This window comes from Homo sapiens, chromosome 7, assembly GCF_000001405.40.
Source record: "Homo sapiens chromosome 7, GRCh38.p14 Primary Assembly".
NCBI classification, from domain to species: Eukaryota; Metazoa; Chordata; class Mammalia; order Primates; family Hominidae; genus Homo; species Homo sapiens.
Window position 1 is genome coordinate 133,450,371 of NC_000007.14, and position 24,447 is coordinate 133,474,817.

Sequence of the window (24,447 nt, forward strand, 5' to 3'; positions counted from 1 at the left end):
CAGTCTGATCTTGAACTCCTGTCCTCAAGTGATCCTCCTGTTTTGGCCTCCCAAAGTACTGGGATTACAGGCATGAGCCACCGTGCCAGGCCTCTAATTTCTTGAAATGTATCTTTTCCTCACTTTTTCTTTTCCCTGTTTACTCATTCTCAAATGAGAGGAAATCTACCTAGACCTTGTGTCTGCTGACTGTTGGAATATGAAGACTGCCTTTTAGCCTATTATTTAAACATATGTGCTAATGAAATCATTTTCTGAGTTTTACTGCTAGTAATCAATTTCATGTACACATATGCCAGCTCAACTCCTTGTTACCATATAATGCAAATCTGTTTTTCTGAGATGGAACTTCAACCTGTATCACTATCTGGCTTCCTGAAACACATAAAATAATAAATGAATTACTAAGGTAAACATAAATCGTTTTCCATGATTATTTTTGTATTTACAGTATTTTACAAAAGATGATTCTCTTTGTCAGAATTCCATTGTTAGTCCTCTCCACTTCTTAGTAGATTGTGTAATTTTAAGTACTATTTCTAATGGATGCAGGACAAGAAGTGTTCAGGTGGGATGGTGAGTTCGGGAGGGCCAGCTGCCTCTCAGGCCAGCAACTATGTGGTCGTGAACGGTTGCTCACTTTGGTTTGGAGAATACAGACAGTGCAAGAGTGGGAAAGGCTTTTTGTACCTACTTCCAAGTAAGCAGATTACTTTCCTTCCACTGATGCAACACAAACCATTCAGTATACGTGTTAACTCTCTTCCGTTGACCTTGTATTTAGTGGAGATTGTTTAAAGATTCTGGCTGTATTGTGTGTGGGTCCAGATTTTTTTTTGGCATTGTGAAGCTTTTTTTTTTTTAAATCTTTTGCATTCATAGATATTTGAGTGGGTACGTGGGAGAGATCGTGTTGGGTATTACCAGACAAATATCATTTTAATTTGGAAGTCTGACATTTGTTCCTCATTTCTACTTGTAGGTTTCCTGTTGACTTGTAATTTAGGGCAGTATCCTCTTTTGATCTTATTTTCTTTAGCTCTAAATGGGATTTCAAATTTAAATGTGCTTTGGTTAGCAGATTAACATAAACGTTTATTAATTCAGATAATTTACTAATATTTTATTTGTTAATATGAGAAAATTATTTCTCTTGTATTCCTGAATGAATTTTTTTCTTTCATTTGTTTGATGGACTCAGTACTTAAAATTTTTTACTTTCTCTTCTATTTGTATATTTTCCTCTCTCATCCCCAGGCATATTTTATTTAAAAACCTTGAGTCAGAGAAAGAGTTACACGGACTTATTTGGGGATTTGAGCTGATAGCCACCCATAGTTCACCCAGCTGAACTGCCTTCCTAGGAACACGATGAAATGGATTCTCAATTCTGATGTTTCTTCACTAAGGTCTCCAGCATGATACTAGTTTCCAGTGTGTTGGTAGGGTAGACCTGCTCAGCCCATAGCTAATTGATATGATGGAAAGAGGTCAATGATTTTGAGTTGGAAACACAGCTGTATGTCAGGATAATTACAGAGAAACCTGTTGCCTTGCTATTACCTTTTTAAAAAAAATATTTTAATTGTAGTAAAAAACATAAAATTTACCATCTTAACCATTTTTAATTGTACGGTTCAGTAGTGTTAACTATATTCACATTAGTGTTACCTTTTATTGCCTTTACCTTTGAAAGCTTTTTGTCCTACTCAGAAGAGCTGAGGCTTTGATAATTAGCCTGATGCACTGTGAATTGCTAAGAGTCCAACTTTTTTCATGGAAGGAACCGAAGACAAAATGAGAGAATAAAAGCAGAGAGGAGGGAAGAGGAATACAGCTTAGATTAGAAATGGTCCCTACAGCAGCATTATTAGTAAATATCTCATTTTCTGGATTCCAAGACCCTAAGAAGTATAAGATTAGGAAAAAAAAGTAAAACTACCTTAAATGTACACATCTATCATAAGATAACTGTTGATTTTTGGATATGTGAAAAAATGTGAGCAAATGTGTACCTTAGAATCTGAGAAATACCAGGAAGTCTCCCACATGGTGATGAGAAGCAGCAAATGTTGTGTCTGAGGAGGAAGTTGGTGACCAGAGTAGAACAGTGCCACAGCACAGGCATCAAGAAGGGTCACAAGCCATCTACCCCCAATAGCCTCTGCCATCCTCATGCTCCAGTCAACCTTTAGCTCTCTGTGCATCTCGTATGTCCAGAATAGCTAATGCTCATCCATTCTAGATAGCAGTTTTATTTTTTCTATAAATGTTATTTTTAACTAAGTTGTTTGATTCTCTACTATTATGGATTGTTGAGAGCCCCTGACAGCCTGACAAATGTACCCTGTGGAACATGTGCTTAGCAGTGATGACAGAATAGCCAACAGAATGTTACATATGTAAACTACTCAGCTTTGTGTTCACTCTGGGCAAATGAACAACATATGGACATTTGAAATATATGTGTGTTCAAAATTCTGTCATGTGAGGTTAGTTGTGGAATTCGATAGTCCATTTTGTATTTGTTCCATGTGAAAAGGGCCTTATAATGGCATCACCAGTTGTTCATTAATCTCCTTTCCCTTATGTAAAGTCTCCTTTTGTCCTCCCTCTGCCAGTCTGTAAGTTTTATCATGACATTTATACATGGAATGGATTGTTACCTTTTCTGGGAGGAGAATAAACCATAAATATGAACGAGGCATTAAAAGAGCTTAACATAAATCACTAAGAAAAATCTGTAGACTGTGAGAATATAAAAATCGCTGTGAATTATAAATAATACAGCAAGGTTATATAAATCATTTTATGTAAAGGCAGACATATATTTCTACTTCTCACAGTAAGGCCCAGTGATTTTAATATCATTGGTTGGCCAGCGTCTATAGTAGGAATATAGGCATGGAATATAGTAGAAAGTTCCATAGTGAAAATTCTGGGAGATCATTGGTAGCATGGAACAGTGATACTTACTTTCTGTTGGAGATTGCATTTGCTTTATATTGTTATCAAAGTATCAAAAGAAATCTTACATTTTCTCTCTATATTTGCTCTTGGATAATAGCACGCAGATCTGTAATCATTTAAAGAATGAAAATGTGTATTGAAAAATTTAAACATTTTGTTTTAACTTAATTAAACTGTCATTTCTCTTTAATTAGTAATTAACTTTCAGACTACTTTTCTAGAAAGTATCCAGAGAATCTCCTTAATTGTTTTTTTTCCTATTGTATCTACTTTAACAATATTTTCTAGAGAAAATTAATCATAAACATATAACTTTATGTAAGTTTGCATAAGCTTATGCATACCTTTTAAGCATGTATTAAAGAGAGTATTCTTTTTACTAAAGTTATCGTCTCTTGGTTAATTACTTCTGTTTTAATAAACAGATTATTCTTTGCTGAAGAAAGTTTTCCTTATAATATGTAACTCTTACACAGTTCAGAATTATATGTTATATGTTAAGTGCATAACTTTATTGTGACAGCTAGATGATTTTCTTTGTATATAAAAAATGCTTCATTCATGTCACTGGAATTAAGTCACCTCTATACATAATACAAGAGATAAAGAAGAAGTGTAAGACACAATATTGTTCTTAGATTGCTTCCTAGTTGAGATCAAACTAATATAATTTTAACAGCACTGGCATTTCAAGACAATTTATGATTAAGTTTTAAATTCTGTGATTCAGATTGCTTTTAATTGTCAATCTTAAAGAAAATTAAAGACATGCTACTATTACAGTTTCACCCCTACTCACACATAACTAGACTGAAAACGTTATAAATATTCAGTTTCCAGTAGATAAGGAAATCTTTTCCTTAATTCATTTCTGAAAGGACATCTTTTTCATACTAAAAGAACCTTTTGTTTAGTATTATATTTTAAATAATTTCTCCAACACTGCTTTCATTTATTTTATTTATTTTATTTTATTGAGACAAAGTCTTACTGTGTTGCCCAGGTTGGGGTGCAATGGTGTGATCTTGGCTCACTGCAGCCATTGCCTCCTGGCGAAGCGATTCTTGTGCCTCAGCCTCCCAAGTAGCTGGGATTACAGTTGTGCGCCACCATGCCTGGCTGGTTTTTGTATTTTTAATAGAGATGGGGTTTCGCCATGTTGTCCATGCAGGTCTCATACTCCTGGCCTCAAGTGATCTGCCCTCCTTGGCTTCCCAAAGTGCTGGGATTATAGGCGTGAGCCACCACGCCTGACCACTGCCTTCATTTCTTCTGAGGAGTAGCTTTGTTTCTTGTTAGGCCAAAGTTTATGAAACAAAATTTCTTCCTTGCTAATAATAGAACTTATTTCTAAGATGGCAATATGTGATTACAGTAGTCCTCCCTTATCCGTGTGGGATATGTGCCAGGACCCCCAGTGGAGGCCTGAAACTAAAGATAGTACAGAACCACTCTATATACTATGATTAAGTTATAGGCCAGACACAGTGGCACCTGTCTGTAATCCCAGCACTTTGGGATGCCGAGGCAGGTGGATCACTTGAGCTCTGGAGTTCAAGACAAGCCTGAGCAACGTGGTGAAAACCTATCTCTACAAAAAATATAAAAATTAGCCATGTATCGTGGTCACAGCTACTTGGGAGGCTGAGGCGGGAGGATTGCTTGAGCTGGGGAGGTTGAGGCTGCAGTGAGTCAAGATTTTGCCATTGCACTCCAGCTGGGCAACAGAGTGAGACCCTGTCTCCAAAAAATATATATAAAATAAATAAAAAGTTTAAGTTATAAATTAGAGTGAGAAATTAACAACAATAACTAATAATAGAACAATGATAGCAATATACTGTAGTGAAAGTTATGTGAGTTATACTCTTTCTTAAGATATTTGAGGAAGGGGTGAAGTGGGCCAGTACAAGATTTCATCACATTACTCAGAGCAGCATGCAATTAAAAACTTATTAATTATTTCTGTAATTTTTCATTTAATTTTTTTGAACTGTGGTTGACTATGGGTGACTAAAACCGTGGAAAGCAAAACCATGGGCCCAGGGGTTAGGGGAGGTGGGGATGGGACTGCTGTATTATTTAGTAGTATTATTTTCTTATCAAATTTTATCTGACAAAGTTTAGGAATACCACCATCTAGATTTTAATCGTAGATTTTCAGTTAAAATGTCATGGTTGATATATGAGACAAAATAAGTTTATTTTCTAGATTTGTTACTTGTAGAACCTGTTTATTATAGAGAGTTCTAGGCTTCTTTGAAAGCTGTTCTAGAGTTGATAAATCTGAAAATTCAAGTGGTAGGATGAACCAATATCATGGATAAAGCTGAGCTAATGGTTGTCCAATGAATAAGTGCTGACTAGAGCTTTAAAACTGCATATATAATATGCATAATTGGCAGTCCATAGATTTATGGGTTTTAAGTTACTGCTATTTTGACTTAAAGATTGAACGATCTATCTGTAGTGCTAGTGATGTTTCAAACATCAAAAGTAACAGAACTTCTTGCAACATAAGCAGTGCAACTCTTGCCATGTCTATTGTATCCCAAATCATACACCTTTATTATTTATTAACTGAGAATTATTGCAATAGGTTTACCCTCTGAGAAAATAAATTATAAGGAATAAATTATGTGAGCTGTTTGTCTCCTTCCACCTTGGAATAAGCCAGAATGTCTTTGGTTGATATGCTTCATTCTGTAATCAATATACGTGTATTCTGCTTTTATTCATGGAGGCTATTTTGTAAAGATAAGTACATTTTTATCAGTTGAAGGTAAATGCAAAGGAGGTGAAAGCACCTCTATTCCAGCCATTATCATTATCCATTATCATTAATGATCCTAATTTCTTCTTGCAAGTTACTGTGACTGAATCCTAGAATCACTGTATTTATAGGGATCACCAGATTCTAGAGAGGTCACCATGTGGCTGGAAAATATTTGGGTTTTAGTTTTATGTGCCCAGAAGAAAGAATGGCTGCACCAAGGTCAACAAAATGGGCAATAATTATATCTCCACTGTGTGAAAGTGCCACAGTATCAGGAATCGTAAACTTTGTTGCCTTTATGGAGCACACTACCATAATTCACATTCATGCGATCATATCATTGAATTGGCTTAGGAGGGAGAAAACTTGAGATGGAACTCCCCTGGTATTTTGGTAAATAACAGTAAGCCACATTCTGTACTATCTAATCAATGTCTGATATGAGAAAACTTAGGAAACATCATGAATTGAACTCTGCAAACTCCCCTGAATGGTGTGGATAATCATCTTGAACTTGAAGGCAGGTGTACCTTCCCAAGTTCTCTGAGCTCATTTTTGGGCTGCAGCTCCTGCCAGTATGGAATCAGGTATCACAGAGCCCAGGATGAAGGACATGATAGGTGGTTTGGAGAATTGAGTCACTCCACAGATCACCTAGGTGACGAAGATACTTGTGGTGTGTAGCACACAGAAAGCACTCATAAATGCTGTTTAAGCTAATAAAGGAAATTACAGGAATAGGCCATAGAATTTGAAGAACACAGATAACACTTCAGGATAATTTTATTTGCAGGATTATTTGTATAAGCCAGCAGAGAAACTAAATGTAGTTCAATGGAATGGAAGACCACTGAAGAACACTGAGAGCTCCTTCAGAGCATAAACTATCTTAATCATCTTTTCGTGGGCAATACCTAACATAGTGCCCTGCATTCAATAAATGCTCGTCGAATGAACAGAAACTTTAGTGAAACGTTAATATTTGTGTTGGGCCTTGAAAGGTGGTTGAATTTGATTTAGTGAAGGGAAATGACATGGCTTTTCAGAATAGTAGGACTCAATGAATAAAGGCACAGATGTTGGAATGAGCTTACTTAATTTTGTGAGACACAGGAGAGGTCAGTCTGATGAGAGGCCCGTGGTGTATGTTGTGGTGGTAATGGTTGATAAGAGGTTGTTATTGATTGAACACACACAAAAAGACTCAGTGCAAGCTTCTTTGGGGAAATACAAAGGGATGAGACATTTTTGTACTGAGAAATTCTGTCTCACAGACTAGTCTCATAACTCCTGATCAATAGCCTTACTATAGGCTGTTGATCTTGAAAGGGCACCAGCAAGAAGCAAGTGCAGTATATAGCTCAGCACACCCATCTTCCTTAGGTAGCTCGCCATATTGAGTGGGATCATTTTCTCAATTAGGTTGCGTATCAAAATTTAATACTTGTTGGATTGAATCAGATTTAAAACTCTGAAATGCTATTCTTAGGAAGAGGGAACCTTTCTCCTTAGAGTTGGTGTATCCCATTATCCTTGAGAGGCAACCAGGGACTCTGCCGGAAGGACTTCACAATCTGGCAGAGACATTTTCTGAAAATAATGATTTAAAAATTCTTCCCTTCTCTGCTTCCTCTTCTTTTTTCACCTTTAATTGAATAACCATTATATTGTATTACTTTTTCACTTATGGATTTCTTTAAACCTTAGGTATTTTGGTTAGTTCTGTGGCCAAATTTAATCATCATAGTACAGTAGTAGGTATAGCTTCAGTAATAATGCTAACAATGTATGCTTTTCTTCTAAAGTGTGCTGTTGGTACTTGAATTTAGCAGACACCGAATTTTTCTCAGACTTTTAGAAGAAATAAAAGAAGGAAGAATTAGAAGTATAATCAGAGACCAATAGTGGGGTTGACAGAAGGGGTGTTTTTCTTAATAAATGTATACCTAAAGAAAAGTTATTTTTACTGGCTAGATATCACACTACAAATATTTTCTGACTTTGAGTTCTGTAGTTATTTTGTCTAGACCACTACGCAGCTATTCATCTCATTCATTATTGCACTTATTGGTTGTTTTACCTAGCTCCTCTGAAGCTGGAGAATCTGAGATTAAGTATTAGAGCTGGAATAAGGACCTGACTCTGGGGGTTGGGATTGTCATTTATCCTATTGCAGGATGCAAGCCCTCGCAAATTTTGTGAAGTGCACTCCAAAGACATGGTTTTGCTTTCAACTGTGATGACACTATAATTGATCAAGTATATTCTTTCAAAGAATCATAAATTCTTATTGGAGTTTGAGGAGATGTCATATTCATTTGTCAACATGTCACTCCAGGGACACAGGTGCAGCAAATTTATGGAGGAAGCACCTTGTGTTTCTCCTGAGTCACATAAATATGAAGCAGAATTGATTGAAAACGTGTGGTTTTAGATTACTCCTCAGGTGGAGAGCAATTAAGATCTCTCTGTAAAGGCATTTCACTCTGCTTCTCAGGTTTTCTTGTAGCATAGGCAGAGATCAGGTCTGAGGGGACACCAGAGAAATTTTTGAAGACCTGATGGTGTCTTCTCAGAAAAGAATACTAAGACATTTCTCTGGCAGAGAGAATATTGCACATTTTTAGTCAAGTGCATGATTAACTTTGACATTTGGAAATGGAACTTCACGTAAAAATAAGCATGGTACTTCTGCATGTTTAATTAAGATGTTTAGTTCTTGTCAAGGCTGATAGCCCTCCCTCCCACCCCCACACCCCCGCCCTGTGAAGGGCAATATATTCTCAACTTCTGAAATTTCAGAAACCTGTACTTAACCTTTAATTGTCACTCCATTTACATGGAAATCTGATTAACAACTTTTAAAGTTCATGAGCTCCTGGTAAATGCAATTAAGACCTTTTTGGAGTTTGTTATTAAGAGCTGGCATTTAAAGAAGACTAGGCCCTGGCTACTGTTGCTGTCTTCTCTGTAGCAGGATGTCTTAAGCAATTAGCAGAGAACATGAGGTACATGAATTGTATGGTATTGCTTCTGCGTTAACATGGTTGGTATTTAAATAGCATGCTGTCTTTTTTCTTTTCTGTGGCTTGCTTTATGGTGTGAGCTTGTTACTGAATGGTAGGGTAGAGCTGAGAATAATTAGGTAGAGCTGTGGTGGTTTTCATAAGTACCGAGTTAGGCACAGTTCCTCATCCCATTGGATGTTCTCTAGTTATGTTTACAAATGCTCACTCTCATGTCATATGGAGTCAAGGCTAATCCTACTGTGATGAATTTATTGTATCCATCTCCTGGCTGTGGTTGTCTTTTTGAGAGTTAAAATTAAAAGATGTAGTTATTGGAGAGAAATGATCCAGGTATACAATTAATTTCTGATATCAGGCATGTGAGCTGTTCAGCCATTGCCCTTGCCTCATGGGGGCAGAAGTGGGGGTGAAGTTTGTTGGGGCAGACATGCGTAGTATAATTTACAAACTGAGATGTGCTGTGATAAATGGAAAATGGGGAGTAAATAGTTGAAAGACAGGATCTTATCGGATCATATGCTGCCAATCATACAGTGTGATTTTCATTTACTGATAGAATTGGGCTGTTTGATGGATGTATATAATGCATTTCTTCGGTACTTTATGTATGCAGGACACTGTGCTTATTAGAAATTGAGGAATGATGAGAAAAATAATGAAATGATAAATCAACAGACATATCATTTAAATACATTGCATATGATTGTGCTATTAAAGTATACTTGAATCTACATATTTCTGTCCTCTTTGAAATTTTTATGAGTATATATTGCTTTTAAATAAAAGATCAAAATAAAGAATTATTTGGGAAAAAAGAAATAGGAAAGCCAATGCAAAAGAATTAAATTGGATGCCAGAAATACCAGTGAAATAGTTCTCCATTTTTGTACACTAGAGCAGTGGTCCCCAACCTTTTTTGGCATCAGGGACCAGTTTCATGGAAGAGAGTTTTTCCATGTATGGAGGGTGGCTGGTGATGGTTTTGGAATGAAACTGTTCCACCTCACATCATCAGATATTAGTTAGATTCTCGTAAGGAGCACACGACCTAGATCCCTCGCATGTGCAGTTCACAGTAGGGTTCACACTCCTGTGAAAATCTAATGCTGCTGACGGGAGGTGGAGCTCAGGTGATAATGCTTGCTCCCCTGCCGCTCACCTGCTGTGTGGCCTGGTTCCTAACAGGCCATGGGCTGGTGCTGGTAACAGGCCACAGACCAGTAACTCTAGTGCACAGGAACCCTTGCGCTAGAATTTTCATATTTACTGTAAACTTACTTAAACCAGCAGTGCAGTTCATTTGATTAACCTTTTAAATTTTAGGCTATCCTCAAGTGTAGTGCGTAAATAAAATAGTTTAATTCCATGTTTTGAATTAACACATAACATTCAGTATAAGTAATGTATAATAATCAAATACCTATTGTAGATGTGGAAATTTTTTTTTGGCAACAAAACTGATAAAATAGTATTACTTTTTGTTTAACCAAGCTGTCGACAGGTATTTTTCATTAGTTTAGTAGCTTGCTCAAGGGACACACACACCCACCCACACACACACCATCACCTTCAGACAGAAGAATTTTCCTTATTTCATAGACAGAATCTTGTAGATGCAAGAGTTGGCGAAGTCAAGAAATTGGTGATATTAAGTTGTTCTTTCAGTCATAAAGCATTTTAATAAGATACTTCAGTGGAAATATCATTAGACATGAATTTTGTCTAATACATGCTGGTATTAGATAAAATGCCTTCTGCTCAAGTCGTGTTGGGAGGTGAAGAGAGAAATACAGGAAAAGTTAAATATCCAGCAGTGTATGATTAATTGCCAAGTCCAAATAATCATCTGTGGGTCCTCTAGGAATTTAAAAGATAACTTTAGATAGATTGGTCAGAGAAGGTTTTGCGCATGGGTTAGAGGCTGAACTGGTCCTTGAAAGAAGGCTAGAATTTAGGTATTTTGGAAAGATCATTTTAGATAGGGATAATATGCATATATTCAGAACAGTGAGCACCTTACTGAATTTAACCACATTCTGAGGAGGCTGCGATGAATTCGGTTGAGATGTTCTTTGTGGACTCCTTAAAGAACAGAACCACTGTATTTGTCTCTGCATTCTGGTGCCTTGTACTCTCAGTGCTTCCAAACCCCCTTATCTCCTGGTCTTTACAATGTTCCCCTTAAATTCCAATGAGAAGGTATGTAACACAGTTCCTGGCACTTAGTAATTACAAAGTAAATGCTGGTTGAATCTGAATTTGCAATTGTTATCTCTAAAAATTCTATTTTGAATGAACTATAGGCAAATATTTTTTTATAAGTGTGACAATATTTACATATTACAGATAAACAATATAAAATCATCTTTAGTAACTGAACTGCTAATTGAAAATGCTGGGTCTTAGCCACTTAATTGAGTAAACTGTCTCCAGAGAGTAATTTGGGTCTTTTCCAAGATGCATTAACTCTTTCAGGTCGTTAGGGTGGCACTTATCTCATTGGAGCAGAAATGTAATAAATGGTATTCCTATAATGTAAGTAAATTAATGTACCTCAAAAAGCCTGAAGTTTCACCATGGGTGTTGTAGTTGTACTCCAAGGAGCTCATCTGTGAATGTGAAACAGCAATAAGTAGCTGCTGTTTGGAGCATCTTACTTTCAATTTAGGTAACTTAAGACATTGTGCCTAGATGTTGACAGAGATACAAAGAAAAGACCTGGCTGACAGGCGGCAGAGAAGGCAAATAACTGCTAAATGAAATCCTTGAGAGATACAAACTGCTGTATGGGTTTTAATTAGAGTGAGATATCATAGTTGACAGTCGAGATAGATGGTAATCTCCCAGAAGACAGGCATCATGGCTTTTTTACACAATATGCTTATTCATGTTTATTCTCAGTATATAGACATGTATAAGTATAAATATTAATATGAACAAATATATTTGTAAATATGAGTTGAATAAATTGTAAACATATTTTACAATTTTCATATGTGTGCTTTTTTTCCTTGTGAGAATATGAAATATTAATGTCTGGCATTGATCTAAAGTGACTATAGTAAGTAGGTGGAAACCAGAAAAAACACACGGCATCTTTTAGAGATATATGCTACTCACAGGTTCCCTGTAACCTCAACTTGAGTGTCAGCCTACTGGTGGGGGATATTGACCTTTAGCTAGAAAAGAATATAAGAATGATTTATTCTACCCACCAGCATGTTACAGATTTACATCTGATGGGAAGATAGAGGCACATAGTTGTCATCGTAAGACCAAGGGGAAGTGACATAAAAAGACCAATGCAAAAAGAACTTTCAAAAGAAGAAGGTAGAGATAACAGCTCCATGAGAAGATAAAACTTCAAAGCTATAAGCCCCTCCCTCTGTTTCCTCATGCATGGGGTTGGCTTCATCTCCATGCATGTAACTCTGATTAGTAACATCTGAATGGAGGAAAAGTAGTTTGCTAAGATCCATTAAAGTCTACTTAGATTCACTTTCTTGATCTCATACCCCAAGCTTTAAAAAAATTTTTTATATTTTTCCCTGGTACCTGATGTACAGCTAACATTCCCCATACTTGATAAATGGAAGAGTAGTTAATGGCAGGAAAAAAAATTAGATAAATTTAGACATGATGGAAAGCCTTTGGGAGTTATTTAAGAAACAGGAAATAAAACTTTAGTTTAATCAACTGGTAATGATATAAAAAGAACCAATAGGAACTCATCCTATAGAGGTTGATTGGGGCTGTGTTGTGAGAGGCGCTGAATAATAATAAGATAGAGGTTTATTTATTTTGAAGGCATGGAGGAAGCCATTGAAGGACTTGTCAGAGGAATGAAAACATTGGGTTTAATCTGGTAGCAGGTTGTGGGATAGACTGTCATGAGATGCATGTGGCAGGATATGGCCGGTGGGAGACTGTTTTAATAACCTGCATGAAAGATAATGAGGACCTGATTTAGAAAGATGAGTATGGGAATGAAAATATTTAGAAGAGGGACTGGACATGAAGTGTGTAGTATTAAATCTATAGGATTTGGCAGGTGATTTGGAGAACAAGACTGAGAAGAGCCACAACTAACTACACATTTTGATCCCAGGTGATCAGAAGAATGATGACATTAAGGAGCTCCCCCGCTTTGGTGCCCTTCCTCCCTTTGAGGAGAGGTGGTAATAGAGAGTTTACCTGGTCAGTCTGAGTTTGTTGGACCCATGTTTTAGCATTTCCTAAACATCTGCTGCATTGTTTTGACCTGCTTACTGTGATATGGATGTGAGAACCCAGACATTCTTACAAGCAATGGCAGTGTATCTTTGGAGCTTGAGAGAAAGTATGATGTAAGAGGGATAATTGGGAATCATTCAAAATGTAGAAATAATAAAAATGGAAGAGAGCAGGAGCAAGGGTTAGGATATTTTACTTCCTAATTGCATTTTACAGCCTAACTACTAATACTTAAGTAATAGTCTTAAGTATTAGTGTTAGTTCTTACAGCCTAACTACTAATACTCAAGTAGTTAGGTTGTAAAATACAGTAATCAAACTCATTGAAGTGAAAGAAAACATTCCAAAAGTTTAGAGAATGAGTATTAGCAGAAGCCTGGATTTAGTAATTGAGATCTTTATTGTAGCGCAAAGGGGAAGAAGGAAGAAGGAGAAGAATGATAACTTTGAGGAGATGATGAAGATATACAGATAATTTCATTTACCCATTCATTCACTCACTTACACTTATAAAGTGATTGCTGTGCTTCAGGCAGTGTTCTAAGTGGAATACTCATTTGACCCTGATGATAGTACTAGCAAATAGATAATATTATTTCTGTTTTACAGATGAAGGAACTGAGGTTCTGAGGCACAGAGAGGTAATATCATAGATATATACTTACTGGAATATATTAGAAAAGAAACAGATTTCTGAGCCTTATCCTGATAGATAATAATAGTCTGTTATGTACTAAGCATTTTGTATGCGTTATTAAAAAAATTCTCATTTAATTCTATGAAGTAGTTCTTTTTCTGTTTCCAACTTTTAAGTTCAAGGGTACATTTGCAGGATGTGCAGGTTTGTTACATAGGTAAACGTGTGCTTCTATGAAGTAGTTCTATTATTATCTTTTATTATTATTTTTGTTTCACAGATGAGGGAAGTGAGGCTTAGAAAGATTAAGTAACTTGACCAAGGTCACATAACTAGTAAGTAGTAGAGTTGATTTCAAGCACAGACTTTCTGCGTTTTTATATGACTCTCTCATTTTGTAGTTCTAAGGCAGGCACATGAATTTCTATTTTAAAGGAGTTCTCCAAGTGATTCCTATGTGCAGACCAGTCTTCCCAGAATCTTAGCACAAACTGAGAAGGAAGAGGTCTGTATTTTTTTGGAGGAGATAAAACATTGTGGACAGAGAGAACTCAGAGTTGGTGACCTTATAGATGGAGTATTTCCTAAGGACACAGAATCCTAAAGAATAGTAGAGTGGAGGTTATCGGAATCAAGGAGACTGAGAAAGACTCTGTGATGATAGAAGGAGTCAGTATATTATGATGAAACATACTAGTCTTAAAACAGAGTAAAATTGTGTTAGTTAATTAGTTAATTACAGAATTAATTAACACAACCAGTAGCTGAAGTTTTTTTTTTTTGTTGGTTGGGTTGGTTTTTTTTTTTTTTTTTTTTTTTTTGGAGTTAGGGTCTCACTCTGTCACCCAGACTGGAGTGCAGTAGTGCAGTCATAGCTCACTGTAGTCTCGAACTCCTGGGCTCAAGGGATCTTCCTAGGTCAGCCTCCCAAGAGGCTGGGACTACAGGCACATGCATGCCTGGCTAATTTTTAATTTTTTTTTGGTAGAGACACGGCCTCACTGCTGTTACCCAGGCTGGTCTTGAATTCCTGGCCTCAAGCAATCCTCCCACCTTGGCCTCACAAAGTGTTAGGATTATAGGCATGTGCCACTGCACCCAGCCTGAAGTTTTTGTAATGGTGTAAGATAATTCTAGAGTTTGGTAGTCAAAGTTGAAAAGAAAAGGGGAGAAAGCAATGTAAATAGGTAGAATGAACTTTAAAATATGTTTAAATGAAATGGACAGAGAATATATTGAAGCTATAGTTAGGAATATACTTTTGGATGTTGAGACCATTTTTGTGCCATCCCCTAGCATTGTCTCTTTTATTTGTCTTTGTTTTTTAAGAGTGAAAGTAGAAATAACAAACTATCAGAATACCATGAGATCCAAAATACATGGAGGAAAAATTGACTGAAAGGAGTAGTGGAAAATTCAGTGATTATGGTTGGTGATTTTTTAAATAATGAATACCCTTTTTTGATAATTAATAGAACAACTAGAAGAAAATACAGAGAAGACTTGAGCAACACTATTAACCACCCTGATTTAAACTGACATGTATGGTACACTCAACACCATCAGAATTCAGATGATCTCAAGGTCATATAGAATATTCTCCATGTGAGTCTATATGCTAGATCATCAAGTAAGTCTCAATACATTTAAAAGAATTGAAATCACATAAAGTATATCCTCTGACCGCAACAGAATTAAACAAAAAAAGGGAAGAAATTTGGAGGTCCCCAAATATTTGGAAATAAGACAACAAACTTCTGAATATACCATGGGTAACAGAAGAAAGACCTAAATAATCATATGTTTTCATCCCAAGAGCTAGAAAAAGGAGAAAACTCGGCCGGGGGCAGTGGCTCACACCTGTAATCCCAGCACTTTGGGAGGCTGAGGTGGGTGGATCACCAGAGGTCAGGAGTTGAAGATCAGCCTGGCCACCATGGTGAAACCCTGTCCCTACTAAAAATACAAAAAATTAGCTGGGCTTGGTGGTGGGCGTCTGTAATCCCAACTACTCAGGAGGTTGAGGCAGGAGAATCACTTGAACCCAGGAAGTGGAGGTTGCAGTGAGCTGAGATCATGCCATTGTACTCCAGCCTGGGCAACAAGAGTGAAATTCTGTCTAAAAAAAAAAAATGGAGAAAACTCAAAGCCAAAGCAAGCAGAGGTTAGGAAATAATAAAGGTAAAGTGATAATCAATGAAATAAAAATCAGGATAACTGTAGGAAAAAAAAGTGGAACCAAATAGAGGTCTTTTGAAAAGATCAAAAATTGATATATCTTTAAGTAGACCAACCAATTAAAAAAGAGAAGTCTAAAGAATACCAAAAGAGAGAAGTCTAAAGAATACCAAAATCAGGAAATGAAAGAGGAGATATAACTACAGGCTCTACAGAAATTAAAAGGATTCTGAGACTACTATGATATGCCAATCAGACGATGTAGATGAAACAGACCAATTTCTACAAAGACACAAAGTACCAAAACTGACTCAAGAAGAAACAGAAAATCTGAATTGTCCTATAACAAATAAATTAGTAATTAAAAATTTTCCTGCACATACATAATTCACACAAATATTCTGTCAAACATTTAAAGATGAAATAATACCAGTCCTTTGCAAACTCTTTCAGAAAATAGAGAAACAGTTTCCAATGCATCCTACTAGGCCAGTATTACCCTGATAACAAAGCCAAAGTATTATAGAAAACTGTAGAGCAGCCTTACAAACATAAGTGTAATAATGTTGAACAAAATATTAGCAAATTGAATGTATCGACATATAAACTGTATTATACCATGATTCATTGGGATTTATTTTAAAAGTCAATGTATTACCATAAAATAAAGAACCAAAGTCACATAATCATCTCAATAGATATAGAAAAGCACTTGACCTCCATTGATTATTTATCAAAAAAGGAAACATACTCAACCTAATAAAAGGCACTTGTGAGAAACCCGCAACTAGCATCATCAAGGAACTTTTTGACCTAATGCAAATTTATTAATTTATAGATCATGGAAATACCATCAATCTTAACCTATTCACATTATGTATTTCAAGTTCACGGGCGTATATTCCAAACAAAATTTATTGTCGCCATGTGCTATGAAACCCATTTTTCATGCATTCTTAATTATTGTTTATAGAACCATAATTTTTAAAATCCCTCAAATGAGCAATCTTTTAGCCATTGCTTTTATTTCTCCTTTTTTTTTTTTTGCAGAATGACTGATTAAATTTTGTTCATTTTATCTTCTCTGCATTGACTCTTAAATTTGTCCTAATTGTATAATCTTATTGCCACTGCTTTAGTTTAAAACCTTTTAATTTTTTAAATTGAGCTGTCTTGGTCGGTTGTCTCTTCTTGCTCTCCTTCCTTTATAGGATTTTCCTGATCATTCATTTTTGCCCCTAATCCCATTTCCTTCCAGTCAATAATTTTGTATACTGTCAGATCAATTTACATACAGCATATTTATCACCATTTCATTTGCCTGTTTAAAACTCTTTTTCATTGCCTCATTTTGTATTTGGCTTCAGTTCGTAATTTGTCATTACAGATTCTTTTTTTTTTTTTTTTTTAAGATTCTTGGAAGTTTGTCAGTGTACTCCCTTTCCAGGCTTACCTCTTGTTGGTCATTTTAATGTCGCCTGAAATATTCGTTATTTACTGAAGATGCCCTAAATTTTCCCATCACTATGTATTTGCTTGTTCTGTTCTGTGCCTTCATTTTTTTTTGTTTGTTTGTTTGTTTTCACACATTCTAAGATTCAATTTATGTCCTTCTATAGTTCCATGATCTTGAAGGCTTTTTTTGTTGCCCTAGTTAGGAGCCATCTTGTCCTCCTATAAATGCTCTTAGCCATATTTTTGTCCTGATGTTTTACCACTTTCTCCTTTGTATTGTACTCATTCATGTGTGTCTCAATTAATAGATAAATACACTGAGGGAAGGACTTATTTTTGAGTCCTGGTTTTATATCTAGCACAATACTTTGCATATTTTCTGTGTTAAATAAATATATAATTTAAAATGAATGAAAACATTTGGAAGCTATTAAACTGGGCTTTCTTTGCTAAGAGCTATTCTCTTGAGAAAAAGAAAAAAAATCATGAGTAGTTTGATCAGATGTTCGATACAGGACCAAAAATACATGTGTACTCTTGGAAGTTTTTGATTTGTTTTATTCTGAACAATAATGAACCATTCACAAGACCATAGCGTTAGTGGTTTTAATTGTGCAACTGCCATTGACAATGAGTATAATTGAGCAGGCATCTGCTTTATTTTCAAAATGAAGAATTTTTCCTTTCCTTTCCTTACTGCAGAATATTTTAGGTTATACAACGGGGAAATTAGACTGCTCTATTGAAAAAAATAACTTTTTCTGTTATTTTTTCTGTTATTAACATTCTATTCATAGTAGCTCTATGAGGAAAACTCGATAAGTTTTTGTAATTTAAAATGGACATTCTAATTTAAAAATATCATTATATTATTTCAGTCTCTTGGCTGTAATGTTTTCAGGAATCAAGGTTATAATTTGGTGGGTATATTACCCTGATTTTGTCTCCTGCGCTTTTCAAATTCCTTTGAGACATCCTCCATTGGGTAAGACTATACTTTCTGCTTGGGCTCTTCCCTTGCTCCATGAAAACCGGGAGGCGCCTTCTGGGAGAAAGCCAGAGGAATTCGCCTACTGTGCTCCGTTGTTTCTTCCAGGGATCATAGCTGTCAGTTTCTGCTGAATTTGATTCCCCTCTAGGGTCTTCAAATTCTTATTTTTTAGTATTTTTTTTGGCTTTTACAGTTATCAGCATAAGGACCAGTTAAATGAGAACTGATTTGCTGTACCCAGAATACAAACTCTTGGGCACTTGCATTTTAAAAGAGCAAGTTATTGAAAATTCCATTATTTAATATAGGCACATTTAAAATATTGCCCAAGAGAAGTTGAGTCTTAGTTCATGTTGAGAGCTTGAGACAATTTTTTCATGTTACTATTTCTCATGTCATGAGAAGCAGTCTATTATCAGACTCATCAAAGAGGACCAATATACTATGGCTTAATGTAAATCACTGAATACGTGAAGTTAGTAGTCAAGAAAATTGGGGCAGGACGCAGTGGCTCACGCCTGTAATCCCAGCACTTTGGGAGGCTGAGGCAGGTGGATCACGAGGTCAGGAGATCGAGACCATCCTGGCTAACACGGTGAAACCCCATCTCTACTAAAAATACAAAAATTAGCCTGGTGTGGTGGCATGCACCTGTAATCCCTGCCACTCGGGAGAGTGAGGCAGGAGAATCGCTTGAACCTGGGAGGTGGCGGATGCAGTGAGCCGAGATCGTGCCACTGCACTCCAGCCTGGATGACAGAGTGAGACTCCATCTTAAAAATAAATAAATAAATGAAAGAAAGAAAAAAACAAAAAGGAAAATTGGGTTCATAGTTGTACAGAATGAAATTTGTGCAAACCACTACTCCTGTTTTTATGAGATGCCAGTATTTTGCAAAGACAGTAATTTTGGTATAAATGTCAATAGATTCATATTAGTATATACTCATCAATCCATAGGTATCTTAGTGAAGGAACAAATACTCATTTAAGCTATTATAAGGAAGATATATTAGATACTATAAAGACATACTGCAAACTCATAGGGTAGAAAATCTTTGACCCTATCAGCAACTGGATGTGAGACCTATAACACTATGGAAAACATTTAAAGTTTGCAGTGTTCAAGTCTGTCTCCTCTGGGTTTCCTATTTCTCTCTCTGGCCAGCTAGTTCATTCTTTATTCTCCCTCTGCGGATTGACTTCTTTGATTTTTCTATCTGTAAAAGGTGGTTGCCCCAAAGAATTTACATCTCCTCCTTTACATGGCCAGTAGAGAATGTATTCCCCAACACATTCCTGAGAAAGATAATTAACTGGCTAATTAGGGGTTGGTTGTCTCCCTGGTGAACATTTTGGCTGTGGCTGAGAGGGTGGAATCACAGGTTATAAGCATGGCTACCAGAGTCCACTATGTGGTTGGGGAATAGTTCTTAGATGAGGAGAGGGTTTTGTAAGCTGAAAAGTTGCCTGAAAGGGATCTACCACATCAAATACCTCAGAGATCTGAGTGTTTAATTGAGTAGCTGGGATAAATGGAGAAGCTAAAGACAGAAGATGTGTTAATTCTAAGCCTATGACTCTCATATTTATTTAAAAAAAACCTCTGCATGTATAACCACAAACAGTTATAGGCAAAAGGTTAAAGGAGATTAAATGGTAAATGAGGAATTAATTCAGAATGATGTTACCAATGTTAGCAAGTTATAAATCTCAAAATTTTTGTCCTGCTTTAATACCGTGAGATTGCTAAGTAACATCTTAGGAACTACTAATCAAATATAGCAGAAGAGATGCCTAACCAACCTAGTTTATATGTTCTTTAAAACACTCTGTATCTTTATTTTGACCACAGAGCCATTCAACGTAATAGGTCCTCAGAAAAAAACAGTGAATGATGATATCACTGGAATATGTAGACTTCCAAGTGCTTTCCAACTGTTTTGTTGTTGTTGTTGTTTCTTGCCTTTAGTTTTTACAGATTATACCTTTTAAGTTGACACACCCATCAATTTTGACTATTATTTTTGGGGCTCTTGATGAACAACAAATAGAAATTCATGGTACTTAAAAATAGTAAAGAGATTAGTATCTAAGATATGAAGGAATTGAGAGCCAACAAGAATGTGGGATCCTGCACATTTTCTGTAGACAGAATGTATTTGATATTGTAAGTAATGCTCTTTGTTCCAGAATTTCAATCTTGGGTGATTTTCTTCACGCAAATGTTAATCAGAATAGCTTGTTTACTTTTATGAAAATTAAAATTTGAACCCATAGGTGTGTGCTTAGAATATATACAATTTGGAAGGTGCAGTACATTATCCACCATGATGTGGAATCATCAATAAATTATATAGTTATATTTTAATACTAGGCATCTGATGTTTGTGTCAAGACTGTGTAGTAGAAGATTTAGCCCAATTCAAATAAATTTCAGGTATCCTAGAAATAAAGGCTTTTTTGTTCTTTGAGATACTAAAAAATTCTGGCCGGGTGTGCTGGCTCACACCTGTAATTCTAGCACATTGGGAGGCTGAGGCAGGCAGATAACCTGAGATCAGGAGTTCAAGACCAGCCTGGCCAACATGGTGAAACCCAGTCTCTACTACAAATACAAAAATTAGCTGGGCGTGGTGGCAGGTGCCTGTAATCCCTGCTACTCGGGAGGCTGAGGCAGGAGAATCGCTTGAACCTGGGAGGTGGAGGTTGCAGTGAGCCAAGATCGTGCCATTGCACTCCAGCCTGGGTTACAAGAGCAAGACTTCATCTCAAAAAAAAAAAAAAAATCCCTTTACTAATTTGAATATCAAAATAAAACTTTACCTAAATTTAAAATAGTATTTTCCAGCTGGTGATGAATGGTATTAGACAAGAGAGGCAAACAATGAAGCAAACAAACACAAATTGCAAACATTTAGCCTGTGGTTAAAAATTACACCCATCCTTTTTCTTTTAAATTTTATTTGTATTGTAGATTTTTGTACTGAGGATTAATTTACAGAGTTCATTCTACTTTGAAGACTTTTTAATTTGCATATAACAACATATTCATTAAAGCTTCTTTATGCTTTTTTTAAAAAGTTCAGCAATTTGTTGTATTTTTTTGATTTGCTGGTCTGTTGCATGGCCCTATGGTGGAAGTAAAGAAATGTAATGCTTTAAGGAACATATAAATTGGGGGTAGTAAGATGTCTTTATTATTAAATAAGGACTAATAATATCAGGCAGTTTTTGATGAATACTTATTGAATGATGTAGAAAATGGGTGTTTTAGGAGTTCAGGAAAGGGTATAGCCAACTAGAGTGGCCTGGCAAGGGCTCCTTGAAGAAAAAACACTGGAATTATTCTTGGAAGTATTTGTTGGTATTTATTTAGGAGAGAAGGTAATCCAGATTAGGCCTTCTAGAAATGAGAATGCCCACATATATTCAGGGAAGAGTTAAGTAATTTTGATTGCAGTGTTGGGTTTACGTTTGAGAGAATAAGATACGCTTGGAAATATGTACTAAAGTCAGAATGTTGTAGATGATGAAAGGAGTAGCCTTCTGATGATAGCAGCAGTGTTTTAGGACTGTCAGTCTGTTGATATTACGTGAGAAGGACTGGAAGGGAAAGAGATGAGAGGCAGAAAATTAAATGAAAACTACATGAATTGAACTAAGTTGGTGGCTGTCAAAATGGACAGGAGTGGGCAAACTAATAGGGAGTTGAGGAACAGTCATTAATGATCTTGAGGACTAATTCCCTTATGGACACAAAGGATGTGGAAATGTATCAAAAGATGGTTCTGAAGTTTTAAACCTGGAAAGTAGTGAAAATAAGAAACTACCAACAAACAAAAAGGAGACAGAAGGAATTAATGTTTTTATGGGAAGATGATTTAGGTTTCAGAGGAGTTGGTTTTCTTAGTGAAATATGTGAATATATATCAAGCATGCAGTCACAGATGTGGGACTGGAGCTCAGGAGAGAAATGAGGAATAAATCACATTGTGATAAAGGGAACAGTAGATGTAAAGGCTACTTTTTAAAGTTTGGGACTCAAAGACAGAAGGAAAATAAGATTACAGATAAAGCATAAGGACCAATGCAAGATTTTTGTTGAGAAAGTAGGAAAAGTGTGTGTTTGCAGATTGAAAGGAGAAGTGGGTGGATAGGAATAGACTAACAATGCTGAGAGGTAACAATTAAGGGGACTTTACTGATGATAAGGGGACTTTACTGATGATGAGAAAAAGAAAAATGATCTTAAAATACCTGTGTTTTGAGGTCAGTATTTTATTATACAAGGCCCCAGTCATTGGATTCTAGAACAGCAAGTGCCTCAAAAGAGTTACTTGGATTAGTGTATTTTCATGCTTTGGTAGAAACATCACTCTGTCATGTTGATGTTAACCATCTGAAATATGAGTGAAACAATGCATTTATATACATCTTTCTGTGTTATATTAATTTGAAATTCTTTTCTGGTTTACCAGTCTTTTTTTGATCACAAATTGCTGAAAATCTTATTAGCAGCAGTGCCAAATATACAGTATAATTTAGTCCCTGAGTTGAGTTGTTACTAGAGACCCAACTCAATATTCTCCCTGATCATTGGGTAGTTTGGGTGATGTATTAACAGAGCTAGTACTTATCATTATATTATTTCATCCACATACCGAATAATACTCTAGTGGCTTCATAAATAAATAAAAAATATTTACCAGTCTGTTGACATGTTTTGTATTTTCCAAGTGCAATCCTTATTGGACAGAAAATTAAATAAAGTACATTTACTGCCACCTATAGACCTGTGCTTATTTGGGTGCTCTGGTGTCAGGTGCATATATATTTACTATTGTTGTATTCTCTTGCAGTATTGACCCCTTTATTAATGACCTTTTTTGTCTTTTTGTACAGTTTTTGACTTAAAGTCTATTTTGTCTGGTATTGGTATAGCAAATCCTACTCTGTTGTGTTTTCCATTTGTATGGAATATCTTTTTCCATATCTTTACTTTTAGTCAGTGTGTCTTTATAGGCGAAGTGAGTTTCTTGAATGCACCAATATTACTGGGTCTTGTTTTTTTTTTTTAAAACGGAGCCTCACTCTGTCGCCCAGGCTGGAGTGCAGAGGCGCGATCTCTGCTCACTGCAAGCTCCGCCTCCTGGGTTCACACCATCCTCCTGCCTCAGCCTCCTGAGTAGCTGGGACTACAGGCACCAACCACCATGCCCGGCTAATTTTTTGTATTTTTAGTAGAGACAGGGTTTCACTGTGTTAGCCAGGATGCTCTCGATCTCCTGACCTCGTGATCTGCCTGCCTCGGCCTCCTAAAGTCCCAAAGTGCTGGGATTACAGGTGTGAGCCACTGCGCCTGGCCTGGGTCTTGTTTTTTAATTCATTCAGCTACTGTGTGTGTTTAATCAGGGAATTTAGTTCACTTACATTGTGTTATTATTGATAGGTAAGGACTTACTGCTGGCATTTTGTTACTTGTTTTCTAGTTGTTTTATAACTCTTCCTTCTTATTATCTTTCTTTGTGGTTACATGATCTCTCTGGTAGCATGTTTTAATTTGCTGCCTTTTGTTTTTAGTGTATCTATTATGGGTTTTTGCCTTGTGATAATTCTTAGATTTTAAATTGGATTGATTTTATAAGTAGAACCTATTGGCAGTAGTAGATTTTTTAACTTTTTAATTTTTTTGAGACGGAGTCTCACCCTGTTGCCCAGGCTGGAGTGCAGTGGCATGATCTCGGCTCACTGCAACCTCTGGTTCAAGTGATTCTTGTGCCTCAGCCTCTCAAGTAGCTGGGACTACAGGTGTGCACCATCATGCCCAGCCAATTTTTTTTTTTTTTTTAAAGTAGAGATGAGCTTTCACTATGTTGGTCAGGCTGGTCTTGAACTTCTGGCCTCAAGTGATCCTCCTACCTCAGCCTCCCAAAGTGCTGGGATTACAGGCATGAGCCACTGTGCCTAGCTAGTAGTTGATTTTTTAAAAAGCAGCTGCTTTTCTTGTGTTGAAGCTCTCAATATGAGTAGTGGCTATGGAAATTCTTTGTAGGTCAGGACTTCGTAGCTTCCTGTGGCCTTTCTATATCTCTTTTTGCAGGTTTGTTTTAGTATTTATCCACTATGTGTAATAGTGAGTGGTAACAGCATGCACTCCCTAGTACACTAGGGATCA

The 24,447-nt window shown here is 36.3% G+C and overlaps 1 protein-coding gene across 11 annotated transcripts in view, besides 2 other annotated features; it reads left to right on the forward strand.

The window, feature by feature from the left end:
* EXOC4 (exocyst complex component 4) overlaps positions 1–24,447 on the forward strand; it is an 847,874-nt gene that overhangs the window by 197,293 nt on the left and 626,134 nt on the right. The window lies entirely within an intron of this gene.
* Positions 6,251–6,451: a silencer, noted in NCBI's record as "peak6734 fragment used in MPRA reporter construct". NCBI's record gives its function as "represses an SCP1 promoter by STARR-seq MPRAs in K562 erythroleukemia cells {active_cell/tissue: K562}" and the evidence as "EXISTENCE:reporter gene assay evidence [ECO:0000049][PMID:32103011]".
* Positions 6,771–6,971: a silencer, noted in NCBI's record as "peak6735 fragment used in MPRA reporter construct". NCBI's record gives its function as "represses an SCP1 promoter by STARR-seq MPRAs in K562 erythroleukemia cells {active_cell/tissue: K562}" and the evidence as "EXISTENCE:reporter gene assay evidence [ECO:0000049][PMID:32103011]".